The 17,522-nt window shown below is 36.7% G+C and overlaps 1 protein-coding gene across 1 annotated transcript in view; it reads right to left on the bottom strand.

The window, feature by feature from the left end:
- Positions 1–14,647: 14,647 nt before the first annotated feature.
- The window catches only part of TRUB1 (TruB pseudouridine synthase family member 1), a 39,482-nt gene continuing 36,607 nt past the window's right edge, over positions 14,648–17,522 (bottom strand). Inside the window, exon 8 of the mRNA NM_139169.5 lies at positions 14,648–17,201. Coding sequence (NP_631908.1) covers positions 16,945–17,201 — 257 coding nt within the window. The 3' untranslated portion in view covers positions 14,648–16,944. The remainder of the gene's footprint in view (positions 17,202–17,522) is intronic.

Here is a 17,522-nt window from a genome sequence, read left to right as displayed (position 1 = left end):
ATCAGAAGAGTATACAGCTCTGCCACTCCAGCTGCGTGACTCTTGGCAAAACACCTATTCCTCAACACCACTTCAAGTTCTTCACCTAAATAACAAATAAAGACAGAACCTACCTACTTTGCAGGATTTTGGAGGGACAAGTAAGATGATGTAAATGAATGGGGTTTACTGGCCAGGCGTGGTGGCTCACGCCTGTAATCCCAGCATTTTTGGAGGCTGAAGTGAGCAGATTGCTTGAGCTCAGGAGTTTGAGACCTGGGCAACATGGTGAAACCTCACCTTTACAATAAAAAAATTTAAAAATTAGCCGGGTGTGGTGGTGCACACCTCAGCTACTCAGGAGGCTGAGCGAGAGGATCGCTTGAGCCCAGGATGTTGAGACTGCAGTGAGCCACGATTGCACCACTGCACTCCAGCCTAGGCAACAGAGTAAGACCCTGTCTCAAAAAAAAAAAAGCGAGGGGGATGTTTACTAACTTTAATGCTCTCACGCTCTCTCTCTCTGTGTAGACAGACATATCTACTTAGTGAATTTTTGTGCACTTATATGCAAAAGGTGAACATCTATATCCTCTAAAGACATCAATAGCCTATTTCACCATTTAATAATCACTGCTGTCAGAAAATTCTGTTTCAGCTCAATTCTTCTTACCAAAACAATAGCTTATAAAGCATCTTTGAAATGTATAATTTGAATCCATAAATCATGAAAATTTCACTTTTACCTTTCTCCCCTTGGATATAAATCAGGCATGTGGCATTTGCTTCTGTTTACTGACTGTTTACTAGGTTCGAAGAATCAGACTAAACACTATCTGAATGACCTAACTCAGGCTTCATAATTTTATGAAGTAGACATTATTAATAATCCCACTTTATAAATGAGTAGACTGGGGCTTAGAAAAGTTCATTAACTTGCCTAAGGTTAATAGCTGATGATGAGCAGTAGGGCCATGCTGTCAACCACGGGCATGACTTAATATTTCAAATACTCACTGGGAACCCCTAACTATAAAGTAACTTCAAAAGGCCTCCTATTTGCCAAGCACTTGGAGAGAAGTGAAAAGGCATCGTCCTTTTCAAGAGGCTCATTGTTTGGCTGGTGGGGGACTCACAGCTGCTAAAAGAGGAACAAGCATGGTAGCAGTCATTATCATAGTCAGCTGTACCAACTAGGCAAGGCCTAAGAAAATGTTGCTCTTACACCAAAATTCAGATTCATTAAGAAAAACCATTTGATGACTATGGTTAGTCATTTTCCCCTCTCATTCCATGGCCCTGGATTATCTAATAAATTACCAAATACCATCAATTTTCCTTTAAACCGTCCGTTCAAACATCCATTATCTGGTGATACTGTAGTTTGGTGTTTATTGCCTCAATCCTGCATTACTGCACCAGACTTAGTTCTAACTGGGCTCTCTGCATCTCATTTCTACCTATTCAGTTTTTGGCACATGTCACTACCAGATTAATCTTCTTAAAATAAAGCTTCCATACGAGCCAGTCGCTTCACTGTGGCTTTACTCAATCCTGGCTTTCAAGGGTCTAAATGACGTAATCCCAAATGATGCAAATCCTCCTCTCCATCCAGACCAGTCTGCTCTTTACTGACTGTGTTCATCTTGTACACCATCATTTGTGCTGGAACTATTCTCCCCTCCTCAATTGCTCTCCTCTCTTAACCTTTTGAATATTAAATACTGTTCAAGGCTCAACTCAAGGTCTTTCTCTTCTATCCTGACCACGAGGCGTCCTGTTCTCCCTCCTCTGTTTTCAGTAGGAGATCAGCAGCTGTTTGCAGAAATGAATTATTGCTCTATCAATAGCACTTTTTGGCAATATCATTCACTGATATGTATGTATTATCTTGTACCATACTGCTACTTCCCTCCTTATATGTACACTTCTTGAGTTCCCATTAAATGAAAGTTTCTTAAAGGCCTGGACTACATCTTTTGTATGGCATGTTCTTTCCCTGCACAGTAGGTACTTATGAATATTTGAAAACTGACATATTTAATTGATATAAAAGAAAATCACCTAGTTATTACCTTTAGGTTATACTGCCAATTCTGTGAGCCAAAGAATATTAATGACTTAAGATATCTGGCCTCTAAGTCCTGTCCTTAATAATGTAATAATTCGGGGTTAGGAGAGTTAACTTTTCCATGCCCCAATTTTCTCATTTATAAAGTAAGAATTTAAAAGTCAGATAATTCAGAGCACCTGAATACATGAATGCTGATTTATTAAATGCTTTGCCATTAGTTAACACCTTGACAGATGATTTTCTAAGAATATAAAATTCAACACAACATTATGGTATCACAAGTCAGTTTATGTGTCTTAACTAGATACAGAGTGTTCCATTTCCAGCAAAAGTAAGTAGAGAAAATAACCTCAAAACAAGTTTCCACTTAGGTATAGAAAGTTTCAACAGAATATCAATTCCATCCTAACAGTGAGAAAAAAAAAACTGCATAACTTCTTGAGCCCATCAGAGAACTAATGGCTGACAAGCCTCTCTGAGAAGAGATGGAAAAATGAACTGTTTTCAGTTTTGGCAGAATACAGAATCGATAGGTAATCGTCATAAAAGCAGGTGTATTAGATATGGTTCTGCAGAGAAACAGAAGGATACATAGGGTGTGTGTGTGTGTGTGTGTGTGTGTGTGTGTGTGTGTGTGTGTGTGTATGAAGAGATTTATTAATTAGATAGGAGGCTGAGAAGTCCCACAGTCTGCCATGGGCAAGGTGGAGACCCAGGAATCCAGGTCTGAACCCCTGAGAACCAGGAGTGCCAAGGGCAGGATAGATGTCTCAGCTCAAGCAGAGAGGGGGCAATTCCAACCTTCCCCTGCCTTTTGTTCTATTCAAGTCCTCAACAGACTGGATGATGCCTACCCCTACTAGACAGGGCCCTCTGCTTTACTTAGTTCACCAATTCAAATGCAAATCTCTTCTGAAGACACCCTCACAGAAACACCCAGAAATACTGTTTAATTACATATCTGGACATCCCATGGCCCAGTCAAGTTGACACAGAAAACTAGCCATCCCAGCAGGTAAAAAGAGAACAGCTGAGGCCTGGCGCGGTGGCTCATGCCTGTAATCCCAGCACTTTGGGAGGCTGAGGCGGGCAGATCATGAGGTCAGGAGTTTGAGACAAGCCTGACCAAAATGGTGAAACCCTGTGTCTACTAAAAATACAAAAATTAGCCAGGTGTGGTGGTGGGCACCTGTAATCCCAACTACTTGGGAGGCTGAGGCAGGAGAATCGCTTGAACCCGGGAGGCGGAGGTTGCAGCAAGCCAAGATCACACCACTGCACTCCAGCCTGGGCAACAGAGCAAGACTCCATCTAAAAAAAAAAAAAAAAAAAAAGAAAAACAAAAAGAAAAAAAGAAAACAGCTGAAATTTTAATGAATTCTTAAAGTCCAAGAGTAGCAGTTGAGAAACAAAGCAATCGACAGACACAAAAGAAGTCCATACTCGCTTCCTTGCTCTTCTCCAAGGGTCTCTACTAGGTGCTCACAAAAAAGACTGGGGCAGGGCAAGAGAACTGAGAGACTCTGTATGTGGCACAAAGTCACAGAATTCTCTGATACATGAGCCCTTCTCTTATGTGAAAGTCATAAGTTCAATGGGGAGAGGCCCAAGAAAAGATGCACTGCCTTTGGTAGAAGGGTGAAAGCAAGAGCTGTCTGCCACTCGAGGAAGGGCAGAAAATGAGCTCAGCCCAGGATCTTGCACTGATACAAAGCAGAGATCTGCCACTACTGGAGAAGGGGCTGAATTACTGAGAAATCACTGGATTCCATCCACTCCTGGAGTCTAGGAGCTCAGGGCCCAAGACCAAGGCTGGAGGATGAAAACTAAAAAAACACCCTCTTACTCCATGACAAGCTATAACAAGCAACAGTTGATCACTTGGGGAGGTCAAAAAGAGCATGGGTCAGATTCCTTCTGTGGCACAGATATGAAGACTTGCTGAAATCTGAGCATGGAGGGACACACTAAGGAAAAACCCTTCCACAATTCAGGCCTCACATGAATCACAAAGCGCAGCAGCCCACTCTTGCAGTGAATGGAAGTCTGGTGCATTCTAAGTATAGCATCAACAAATCCAAACCTAGTTCAGCCACTGACTAGACTGCCCCAACCTCCCTCCACACTAATGACTGGACACAAAAAATGTGCCTATTTCTGGATAGAAGTATGACTTATCTAAGTTTATTTTACAGGCAATATTTGGCATACAATCAAGAAATACAAAACACACAGACAAGAATGAAAAAAAGCTGTTAACAGACTCACAAAGCTATTAACAGACCTAGACTTGAATGTCAGAACTGTCAGACAAGGAATTGAAAGTAACTATGACTACTATGTTAAAGGATTTCATGGAAAAGGTAGACAAAATGCAGCAAAAGATAAAAAATGTCAGCAGAGCTGGGTGCAGTGCCTCATGCCAGTAATCTCAGCAATTGGGGAGGCTGAGGCAGGTGGATCACCTGAGGTCAGGAATTCAAGACCAGCCTGGCCAACATGGTGAAACCCTGTTTCCACTAAAAAAATACAAAAATTAGCCAGCCACGGTGGTGGGCACCTGTAATTCCAACTACTCGGGAGGATGAGGCAGGAGAATCACTTGAACCCAGGGGACGGAAGTTGCAGTGAGCCGAGATCGCGCCACTACACTCCAGCCTGGGTGACAGAGCGAGACTCTGTCTCAAAAAAAAAAAAAAAAAAAAAAAAAGTGAGTAGAGAGATGGAAACCAGAACAAAGAGTTACATGAAAATGCTAGAAATAAAAAACATGATATTAAAGACAAAGGATTTCTTCAACAGGCGTTGAGCACACTAGACATGACTGAGAAAAGAATCAGTGAACTTGAAGATAGGTCAGTAGAAATTATCCAAAATGAAAGACAAAAAATAAGAAAGCAGAGCATCCAAGTGCCGTGAACAAATAAAATGGTTAAATATACCTGTAATTTGAGTCACAGAAGGAAAGGGGAGGAGGGGAGCATAGAGTAGGATAAATATTTGAAGAAATGATAGCTGAAAATTTTCCAAAATTAGTTTTTTAAACTATGATTTTATTTTTCTTTTTTTTTCAGCCCACTTGAGGAGACAGACCAAAACTGATTAAAAAAAAAAAAAAAAGAAAAAAAGGATCAAAGAAATTAAGAGGCCCCCAAAAGGATAAATACAAAGAAAATCACTCCTAGACACATCAAACTGCTAAAAATTAAAGACAATGAAAAAATCTTGAAGGCAGCCAGAGAAACTATACAAGCCAGAAGATAACTGAGTGACTTCATTAAAGTGCTGAAGAAAAGAGAAGTTATGCAACATGGATTTATATACCCAGCAAAAGTATATTTCAAAAACAAAAAACTTTTTCAGACAAATAAAAACTGACATAATTCATTGCTATTTTATAGCACAGGTCTAATAGCAATGAATTGCATAATGCATTGCTATTAGACCTGTGCTATAAAAAATATTAAAGGAAATTATTTAGAAAGAAGAAATATGATACCAGAATGAAATTTGATTCTACATAAGGAAGAAATGACACTAGGATGTGAATAAACGTAATAGATATTGTTATGATTTTTAATCTCTTTAGAAGGTAACTGACAGTGTAAAGCAAGGGTTGGCAAGCTAGAGCATGAGGATATACTGGTACACAGCCACATACATTCATTTATGTGTATTTTCTTTTCCTTTTTTTTTTTTTGTGAGACAGTCTCACTCTGTTGCCCAGGCTGGAGTGCAGTGGCACAATCTTGGCTCACTGTAACCTCCCCTTCCCGGGTTCAAGAGATTCTCCTGCCTCAGCCTCCCAAGTAGCTGGGACTACAGGCATGCGTAGTCCTGGCTCATTTTTGTATTTTTAGTAGAGACGGGGTTTTGCCATGTTGGCCAAGCTGGTCTCGAATTCCTGACCTCAAGTGATCCATCCACCTTGGGCTCCCAAAGTGTTGGGATTACAGGCCTCATTTATGTATATTTTCTATAGCTGCTTTCATGCTATAATGGCAGAGGTGAGCAGTTGCAACAGAAACCCTATGGTCTGGAAAGCCTGAAATATTTACAGGCATACTTCATCTTATTGCACTTCACTTTATTGAACTTCCTAGATATTGTGTTTTTTATAAATTGAAGGCGTATGGCAAACTTACATGGAGCAAGTCTATCAACACCAATTTTTTCCAACAGCATGTGCTCACTTTGTTTCTCTGTGTCACACTTTGCTAATTCTCAAAATATTTCAAACTTTTCCATGATTCTTATATCTGTTATGGTGATCTGTGATCAGTGATATTTGCTGTAACTATTGTAATTGTTTGGGGGCATCACAAACCACATCCATATAAGACAGCAAACAATTTATTAGTGTTATGTGTGTTCTGACTGCTCCACTGACCAGCCATTCCCCCACCTCTCTCCCTCTCTTCAGACCTCCCTATTCTCTGAGACACAACAGTATTGAAATTAGGCCAATTAAAAATCATACTATGGCTTCTATGGGCTCAAACAAAAAGAAGAAGCACACCTCTCATTTTATTTTGAGAAAGGGTCTTGCTCTGTCATCCAGGACGGAATGCAGTGGTGTGATCTCTACAACCTCCACCTCCTGGGTTCAAGCAATCCTCCCACCTTGGCCTCTTAATGTGTTGGAATTACAGGCATATGCCACTGTGCCTGCCACTGTGCCTGGCCTACATCTCTCATTTTAAATCAAAAGCTAGAAATGATTAAGCTTAGTGAGGAAGGCATGTCAAAAGCCAAGATAGTCTGAAAGCTAGGCCTCTTGCACCAGTCAGCCAAGTTGTGAATGCAAAGAAATATATCTTGAAGCAAATTAAAAGTGCTACTCCAGTGAACACACAAATAATAAGAAAGCAAAACAGCCTTATTGCTGATATGGATAAAGTTTTAGTGGTCTGGATAGAAGATCAAACCAGCCACAACATTTCCTGAAGCCAAAATCTAATCCAAAGCAAGTCTCTAACTATCCTCAAGTCTATGAAGGCTGAGAGAGGCGAGGAAACTACAGAAGAAAAGTTGGAAGCTAGCAGAGGTTGGTTCATGAGGTACGAGGAAAGATGCCACTCCATTACATAAGAGTACAAGGTGAAGTAGCAAATGCTGATGTAGAAGCTGCACAAGTTATCCAAGAGATCTAGATAGTATCATTGATGAAGGTGGCTACACTAAACAACAGATTTTCAATGTAGATAAAACAGCCTTATATTGGAAGAAGATGCCATCTAGGACTTTTGTAACCAGGGAGGAGAAGTCGACGCTTGGCTTCAAAGCTTCAAAAAATAGGCTGACTCTCTTGTTGGGGGCTAATACAGCTAGTGATTTAAATTGATGCCAATGTTCATTTACCATTCTGAAAATCCTAAGTCCCTTAAGAATTATGCTACATCTACTCTGCCTGTGCTCTATAAATGAAACTACAAAGTTTAGATGACAGCACATCAGTTTACAGAATGGTGGACCAAATATTTTAAGCCCATTGTTGAGACCTACTGCTAAGAAAAATAATTCCTTTCAAAGTATTACTGCTCACTGGCAATATACCTGGTCACCCAAGAGCTCTGATGGACATGTACAAAAAGATTAATGTTGCTTTCATGCCTGCTAACACAACATCTATTTTGCAGAAAATGGATCAAGGAGTAATTTCAACTTTCAAGCCTTATTATTGAAGAAATACATTCCATAAGGCTATAACTGGCATTGAAAGTGGATCCTCTGGATGGATGGATCTGGACTAAGTAAATTGAAAACCTTTTGGAAAGGATTCACCATTCCAGGTGCCATTAAGAACATTCATGATTCATGGGAGGTCAAAATATAAATATTAACAGGAATTTGGAAGAAGTCGATTCCAACCCTCATGGATGACTTGGAGAGGTTCAAGACTTCAATGGAGGAAGGAACCACAGATGTGGTAGAAACAGCAAGAGAACTGGAATTAAAAGTGAAGTGAGGCCTGAAGACATGACTGTATTGCTGCAATCTCATGATAAAACTTGAACAGATGAGGAATTTCTTCTTATGGATGAGCAAAGATTCCATCTCAGGAAATGAGATGGAATCTACTCCTGGTGAAGACACTGTGAAAATTGTTGAAATGACAACAATGGATTCAGAATATTATATTAACTTAGGTTGTTAAAGCAGAGCAGGGTTTGAGAGGATTGACTCCAATTTTCAAAGAAGTTCTACTGTGCATAAAATGCTATCAAAAAGCATCACACACTAGAGAGAAATCTTTCATGAAAGGAAGAGTCAACTGATATTGCAATCTTCACTGTTGTTTTAAGAAACTGCCACAGCCACCCTAAGCTTCAGCACCTGACCCCCGATCAGTCATCAATAAGAAAAGACCTTCCACCAGCAAAAAGATTACAACTCACTGAATGCTCAAATGATTGTTAGCATTTTTTAGTAATAAAGCATTTTAAAATTAAGGTATGTGTTTTTTTAGACATAACACTATTGCACACTTAACAGACTACAGTGTAGTATAAGCAAAACTTTTATATGCACTGGGAAGCCAAAAGACTTGTGTGACTCACTTTATTGTGATATCCACTTCTTGCATATTTGTATTATTGTGGTGGTATGGAACCAAACCCACAGTATCTCCAAGGTATGCCTGTACTATCTAGCCCTTTACAGAAAATGTTTGCTGACCCCAGCCAACAGCAATAAGGTAAAAACAAACAACAACAAACCTAATGTATTATAGACAATAGCATAAAAATTAGGAGACAGAAATGAAAATATACTCTTGTAAGGTTTCTACATTACACTTGAGCTGGTAAAATACTATTTGAAGGTAATCTGTGATAAGTTAAAGATGTATATTATAAATCCTACATAAAACAGAAAAAAAAATTTTAAGAGGTATAACTAAAAAGCCAATAGATATAATGAAATACAAAAAAAGTATTCAGTACTAAAGAAAATGGTCAAAGATGAAAAAAGAACAATGAAAAGATGGCTCACATATAAAACAAATGAAAAGATGGTATAGCAAATCAAACCATGTCTATAATTACACTAAATGTAAATGGCCTAAACACTCCAACAAAAAGGTTGAGATTATCAGATTAAATAATACATCAAGACCCAGATATATGCTGCCTATAAGACACCCACTTTAAGTATAAGGAAACATAACATCTAAAACTTAAAAAAAAAAAAAAGGAAAAATATATACCATAAAAATACTAATTTTAAAAAGCCAGAGTGGCTATGTTAATAGCAGACACATTCAGAAAAATATTTAGAAAAAGAAATACTATCAGGAATGAATACAGACATTCATAATGACAGATCAATCTATCAATAAGACATAACAATTTTAAATGTATGTGCCCCTAATAATAAAGCTCTCATACAAATATAGCAAAAAGAGGTGATAGAACTGAAAGAAGGGCTGGGTGCGGTGACTCACACCTGTAATCCTAGCATTTTGGGAGGCTGAGGCAGGCAGATCACTTGAGGTCAGGAGTTTGATACCAGCCTGGCAAACACGGTGAAACCCCGTCTCTACTAAAATACAAAAATTAGCTGGACGTGGTGGCTGGCACCTGTAACCTCAGCTACTTGGGAGGCTGAGGCAGGAGAATTCCTTGAACCCAGGAGGTGGAGGTTGCAGTCAGCCGAGATCACACCACTACATTCCAGTCTGGGGAACACAGTGAGCCTCCCTCTTGTGAAAAAAAAAAAAAAAAAAAAAAAAAAAAAGAACTGAAAGAAGAAACAGACAAGTCCAACATTATAATTGGAGATTGCAGGTCTCCTCTCACTGTAACTGATAGGCAAAGTAGACCAAAAACAGAAAACAAAACAAAGCAAAACAAACCCCATTAAGGCTATGGAAGACCTGAATAACACAAGCAACAAGCTTGACCTAATTGATATTTACAGAATGATCCACCCAACAACCATGAAAGCACATTCTTAACCAATGTACATGGAACAAATTCCAAGGTAGACCATTTCTGAGTCACTAAACAAGTCTTAATAAATTTGTAAGAATGGAAATCACACATTTTATGTTCATGTATTTTATATTCTCTCACCACAATGAAATTAAACAAGACATCAACTAGAGAATTTTATATAGAAAATCCTCTAATATCCAGAAAGTAAATGATATACTTCTAAGTAATAGGTAAAGTGAAATATCACAATGGAAATTATTTTAAATTGAATCACAGCTTATAATAACTCATGAGATGCCGCTAAAGCAGTGCTCAAAGAAAAACTGATAAGATTTAATGCTTAAGTTTAAAAAGAAGTGACCTAAGCCTCTACTTTAAAACTAGAAAAAGAGCAAGTTAAACCTCAAGCTGGCTCAATGAACTATACACTTAAAATGGTGAATTTTGTTGCATATAAATGTGACTTTTTAAAAATTCCTTTAAAAAATAATTGAACTTATACTAAGGAAATTCACCAGGGTCCAAAACAAAGAACGATCTGAAACCCAGAGTGGTAAACATACTTCTTGATGCTACAGCAATCCAGGTAGTGGGGGAGGGAGGCAAGATTTACTCCTCTCTGTAACCAAAGTGTTTGCCTTTTAAGTGGGGATGGAAACCAAGTGTGGATCTTGAGAGGCAGGTTTTGGAACTGTGACACCCACAAACATAGGCATAAAACTGGTACCCTTAAAGGACTATACATTTAATAAAATGGTAGACTACAATGCAATTTACCATAAACACAGGGCGAAAACAAGGAAGCTTTTCTTTGACTTAGGCTTTAAATTAAACAAAACACAACACAACAATAATAAAACATCTCTGCAATGATCATTTACGATGAGGATTTTGGAACAGCGATATCTCTGGTGTGCCTAGCAGAAACAATCCCAAAATCTCTCTGGAAGGACACTCTCAACCCAAGCACACACACTCCCATAAAGTCTCACTGAATTACCTCATAATCCAAGTTTACAACACAAAGAACACAAGGTAGGACACAATCTACCTTGGCTGAGAATTGGGAGATTCAACAAGCAATATTAGAGCATACTCCATAAGAATTTCAGATAACTGAGTTAACAGAGACTGTTAGACTAGACAATAAGACTAAATAGACTAGTAGACTACATAGAAAATTAGACTAAAAAATACACATAACTAAAAACCCTAAGAAATCAGAGAAAAGTTCATTAAAACCATATTGTGATAAAGTAAACATGTGCCTAAATGGTTAAGAAGAAAACGTAAAATACTTTGTGGTGATAAGGATGTGGAACCATCAGAATTCCCATATGCTGCTGGTACAGCAACTTAGAAAAACTCCTTGCACTATCTACTAAAGCTTAACGTGTATACTTTACAACCTAGATTCCAGTCTTAGAAATATCCATCAGAGGCCAGTCGCAGTAGCTCACGCCTGTTATCCCAGCATTTCGGGAGGCTGAGGCAGGCAAATCACTTGAGGTCAGGAGTTTGAGACCAGCCTGGCCAATATGGTGAAACCCTGTCTCTACTAAAAATACAAAAAAATTAGCTGGGTATAGTGGTGTGTGCCTCTATTTCCAGCTACTCAGGAGACTGAGGCATGATAATTGCTTGAACCTGGGAGGCAGAGGTTGCAGTGAGCCGAGATGGCACCACTGCACTCCAGCCTGGGTGACAAAGCGAGACTCCGTCTCAAAAAAAAAAAAAAAAAAAAAAAAAAAAAAATTCCAACAGAAATGTGTGCATGTTTACCAGGAGACAAGTATTACATTGCTCATAGAGGCATTATTCAAAATAGTCAAAATTGAAAGCTAACCAAGTGTCCATCATTCAGTAAAATAGATCAACAGTGGTAATAACTGAATAATAGTAAACAATGACAATGAACAGTAAGTGGGGCCTTTGGGAGGTAATTAAATTTAGACAAGGTCATGAGATTGGAGCCACTATGATGGGGTTAACGTCCCTATAAGAGGAGGAAGAAAGACAAAAGCCTCCTCTCTCAGCCACGTGAGGACACAATGAGAAGGTAGCCCTCTCCAAGCCAGTGAGACAGCCCTCACAACAACCCAACCACACTGACACCCTGATCTCAGACTTCCAGCCTCCAGTACTGTGAGAAACAAGTATGTTAAAGTCACCCAGTCTATGACATTTTGTCATAGCAGCCCAAGCTAAGACAGCCACAATATGGAAGAACCTCATGATTGTAGCTTTGTGCAAAAGAAGCCAGACATAAAAGAAAACATATCACATACTTCTATTTATATGAAGCACAAAAACAGACAAAATTACTAATCTATATTGTTACATGAAATACTAATCTATAATCTTGATGGAGCAGTAGGGGCTTCTGGAGGGCTTAGTGATGTTCTGTTTCTTGACTTGGTTGCTGATTATAGACATGTTTGGTTTGTGAAAATTCACTAAGCTATACAGTTATGTGTGACTTTCTGTATATTAAATACCAAAGTAAAAAAAATATTTTTTTTACTAAAACCTTAATGAAAGACTAAGACAACACATGAAAAAAGAAGAGGCAGATTTTGGAGGAAAAAAACCTGGTGTAGAAATAAAAACAAAAGGCCGGGGCACAGTGACTCATGTCTGTAATCCTAACACTTTGGGAGGCCGAGGAGAGAGGATCACCTGAGGTCAGGAGTTTAAGACCAGCCTGGCCAACATGGTGAAACCTCGTCTCTACTAAAAATAAAAAATAAAAAAATTAGCTGGCCATGGTGATGCACGTCTGTAATCCCAGCTACTCAGGAGGCTGAGGCAGGAGAATCACTTGAACCTGGGAGGCGGAGGTTGCAGTGAGCCAAGATTGCGCCACTGCACTCCAGCCTGGACAACAGAGTGAGACTCTGTGTCAAAATAAATAAATAAATAAAAATAAAACACAAGAGTGATTGGAATAAATATATGATTGTTAAACAGTAAATAAAAATAGAAAAAGGCATTCATTATCTGGAAAAAAGATTGGAGGAAATTCCCCAGTATGCAGCACAGTGGGATAAAGAGATGGAAAATATGAAAGAGTAATTAGACACAGAATAAAACAAAAAGACTTAAATAGGATTACTAGCTGGAAGAGATGAAATATCCAAAGAAATGAAGGATGGGAATTCCCCAGAACTGATAAATATAAAAGTTCAAGTTCATGAGGAATGAGTTCCTAAGCAAAATAATCACAAATTATCTACACTTGGAAGCCTAATATTTTAGCATTGGAGAGATTCTTCAAGATGGACTAGTCTGTCTCCTTTGTTGTAAGGATAAGGAAACTTGAGACCTAAAGAGATTAAGTGATTCACCTAGGATCAAAAAGTTGACTAACGGTAAAGACAGAAATAAAGTTAATATGCTGCATTTTAAGGGTTAAGGATAAGAAGAGCAAAATAATTCCCGAACTTCAACTTTCCGGCCGGTATCAGTATTTATAGCAGCAATCTGAAGATATTCCTATTCATAAAGAGAATTTAGCTCACACATTAACAAATGAAGGTACTACTGATTCAACACCTTAATAAATGTGCTTAATAAATAGTATTTAATGAAGAATTAGGACAATCTAGAGCTCTGCCCATACATACCTTAGAGAAAGAAATGGTTTCAAGACAATCCCTCTCTTTAAATTTAACTACAAGGCCATTATACTCATTTCAGTGCATAAACCTCATATCTATTATCGTTTCCTCTATTTAAATGTTTTGGCATTTTACAGTGCTTTTGAATCACATCTCTTTCTATTGTATACATCATGATATAAGGTAAATTACTTACTTTCTTTGAAACAGAACAATTCACCATCTAATTGAACCTCAAAATGTTCATTGTAAATCTGATACAAATTTCAAACTGGTCAGGGGACATAAAATGTACTGAAGATCTGATACAAAGCACTCTTATTTAATACAGTAACTCATTTCTGATGATGAGTCAATGGCTTGTTTTAATTCAAGTATTTAAGAAAAAAATATCTAGTCAGTACAGGTAGAGGAAACTGTGTTTAGCCTTTATTCACATTTCAAAACTTTGAATTTGCAAAGAGCAAATTTCTATTACATAAAGGTCCTGGATTTTAAGACTATAAATAAAATAATTCTATGACTTTTAACAACTTTTAAGACATTATTTTTCAAATATAAAAAACTTAAAGTGTCAAAATGAAGTGATTTGGTATGTTCCAGGTTGAAACATTTTCAGGATTTTTTAAATCTTTTATCGTTTTCTTACAAGTAAAACAACTTTATCATGTCATGAAGGTTTAGACCTAGAAAAATATAAGACACAGAAATTTCTTGAATATTTTGATAAAAATGAAAAAAAAACTGAGTTGGTATTTAAATACCAGACTATCAGGGAAAACTAATTTGTTTTATGAATGAGTCTTGAACTTTTCAGAGTATCTCAGTTTCAACTGCTTATGAGAGTTAGTAAGATTTTAAAGTCTCAATAAATTTAAAATTTTTCATACTTATTAATCTGACAATGATAAAAGGGGAAGAGTTATTAGAATTAGCAAATTTAGTTAGCAAAAATGAAAATTAAAACTAAAAGGACAACAGACCGTGAAAAATCCTTCTATCAGGTATTTACAACACAAATAACTCATGCAAATATGTATAGAAACCATTAAGACATTTATTTATATAAATGAACAAAGTATACAGATAAATCACATAAAAGCAAATCAGAAAAACTTTGATTTCTCTCCTATGTTTACTAAATTAGCAACAACATATAAAACCCCTACTCAAATGGTAACACTGTAAAATGTTACAACTCTTTGGGAATGCAATAAGGCAAACATAAGTCATAAAGTTCTTCATATTATTTCACTAAATAATCCCCCTCCCAGGAATTTATCATAATAAAATTTAAAACTACTTAAGTATTCAGCAATAGAGAAATACTCTAAATAAATTAAGAGTATAAAGTAATATAATTAAAATAATCATTATCACAACTACATACATATAGATAATATCAAATGAAAAAGTCAATTTAAAAGTATAGGTGCCTTAAGACTATGTGAACAACAAAAAGGAAAATAGTAATATAAAAATTTAAATTCTAAAGTTACTACATTAAGATGGTAGAGGTAACAGTAATTTTCCCATTTGGCAAAACTTCAGTTTTAAACATAAAAGAAAAAGAGTGGCTATCGTTTTTTAAAAATGGTCAACAATCTCTACTCCTCTATTAGTAAACTCTGTGTCAATTTTTAAGGTGAAAAATACAGCAGAAATACCTCTGATGTGTTCTAAAACCTAAGTATTTCTCTATTTGGACTTTAATTTGCAATGGAAGAGGACATATTGTAACCTGTACCAGTCCAACAGGCAGATGTAGCCACTGCCACCTTTGGTTGACACACACTGTGGGGCACTAGATATGAACAGGTAAAACTGTAAATTTTCATTTTATGACTTTGTGTGTTTGATATTTTATGTTAATGCATCATGGTATTAACACTCTTTTTCCTTACAGTTTTGTCTCATACTAAGAATTGTTTTAGTGTTTTCATTTAAAATATGTTGCCAATATGTTGAAAATGCTGTACTGATGCATATATAACATTTTACATTGAGTTTAAATTGGGTTAAGCACAAATAAAACCACTTTAGTTTACATATTTTAAATTTCAGAGTTAGAGACTACAAAGCAGGAAAACACCTTTAAAAAGAAAGGCAAAGCATAAACATCTAAAAACTTGTATTTTATGAAATTTCTCATGAGTCTTCCTTTTGAAACTGTATTTGAGTAAAGGAAGAGGGATCTGAATGTTTCTACAGACTGGCTGCATAATATATTGCTTTCCCATAACAAAAATATGAAGCACTCATTATATATGAAGTTTACTATTACAATGTGGCTACATTTAAAAAATTATGGTAAAGAGGGATAGGGAACTTTCAGAAAGCTATCTGAATGAAAATGTTTGAGAAGAACTGTTTTTAAATATTTAGAGCAGAAGAGATTAGCTGGAAATGCAGGGCAGCCATCTCAACATCTGTAAGTATCTCTTGAAAGAGCAAACTAAAGAGACAATGTCACAGGGAACACCCTACAGAGAAATATAAATAAATGCTAAAGAATAAAGTTTTTAGTTGAAGACACATTCTTTAAATTTTAAAAATTATGTTACTTAATAACTTGGTACAAAGTGCTTGACCATGTTGACATTACCATGAAAATATCTCATAGCTGCCAAAATACAAAACTATAGGAGCTGTCTTCTGCTCTAATGGTAGGAAGGTGACTTTAATTAAGTATTAGTCTTCTATTTACAACCTGTTAGTGGTAGCAGTAATAATTTGGTTCATTTACAAATATTATCAAAGCTTATTCATTTCCAAGATCTAAACAAACACAGGTATTACTAGATGATGGCCATTTTATCAAAGAAATGTTTTTAATAATAAACTCTCCAAAACAGAAGAAAGAGATCAATAATGGCCACTTTAAACAATTTAAAGAATTTCAATAAAATGAAGCCACCAGGAAGCCTAAATAAAGTAAAAATAACACTAAATTATGGTCATTTTTGTGAAACTAAAGAAACATGGAGCTCATACTTTTTTCTTTGATTAGGAAATTTGTTCAACTTTTTCACAAGACTGAAGACAGATCAAATTCAGAAAGTTAATTTTTCTGAATCCAATCATATTCATATTTTCACAATACAAAAAATCCTAAAACATTTCACAACACAACAAACAACTGAGCCAACTGCAAGGCCATTTATAATGCATAGAAAATAAATTATGTGCTATTGAAACTGTAAATGATAGACATTTTTCTTCATGCAAAAAAAAAAAAGACATATTGTTTGTCTTTTGAATGCAGCTTGTCATTCTGCATCTGCACACAGGATTCAAATGTCAACTAGAAAATGATGATATTCCCAGGCCAATCTCAACACGTCTTAATTACATCATCTTCTCTCTTTGGCTCATTTAGAGTTATATATTCACAGCTCAAAACCTGTTCATTAGACTCAGGTTTTGATTTTTTAAGTGCCAACTCTGCTGGGAAAAGAGATGAGCAATGCTCAAGAGACTGTGCAATGTCATCAATTGTCCATTTGTCTTCAGGAAGGGCATGTTCTTCTAGCGTAAATGGTCCCTGTTTGGTTCGGGTCAGCTCTAGCACATTGGCACAGGAAGATAGTTCTATGGCAACAAAAGGTAGAAAAAAAATCCAGAAGATAAACGATTCAGTATTTCATAGTCTGTAATTGTTCAAATGACCGTACTCAATTGAAATCTCTCAAAACCACCCAAAAGTATAATAATCCAATATAAGAACCAAGAGGCCTCAGATAAAGAAATGATTAAGTAGCAAAATAATACTTAATAATCCACCTTATAAGCTGCTTTAAAATCAACAAAGAACTTGCACACATTTTTGTTATTTAACTCATGCAGCCAACCCCATGGAGTAAAGATTAGCCGCACTTTACAGATGAGATCATATGACCTGTCCAGTGCGAC

Source organism: Homo sapiens, chromosome 10, assembly GCF_000001405.40.
Source record: "Homo sapiens chromosome 10, GRCh38.p14 Primary Assembly".
Classification (NCBI taxonomy): Eukaryota; Metazoa; Chordata; class Mammalia; order Primates; family Hominidae; genus Homo; species Homo sapiens.
Note: the sequence above shows the minus strand (reverse complement) of the source record. Positions and strands in the feature narration are given on the sequence as shown.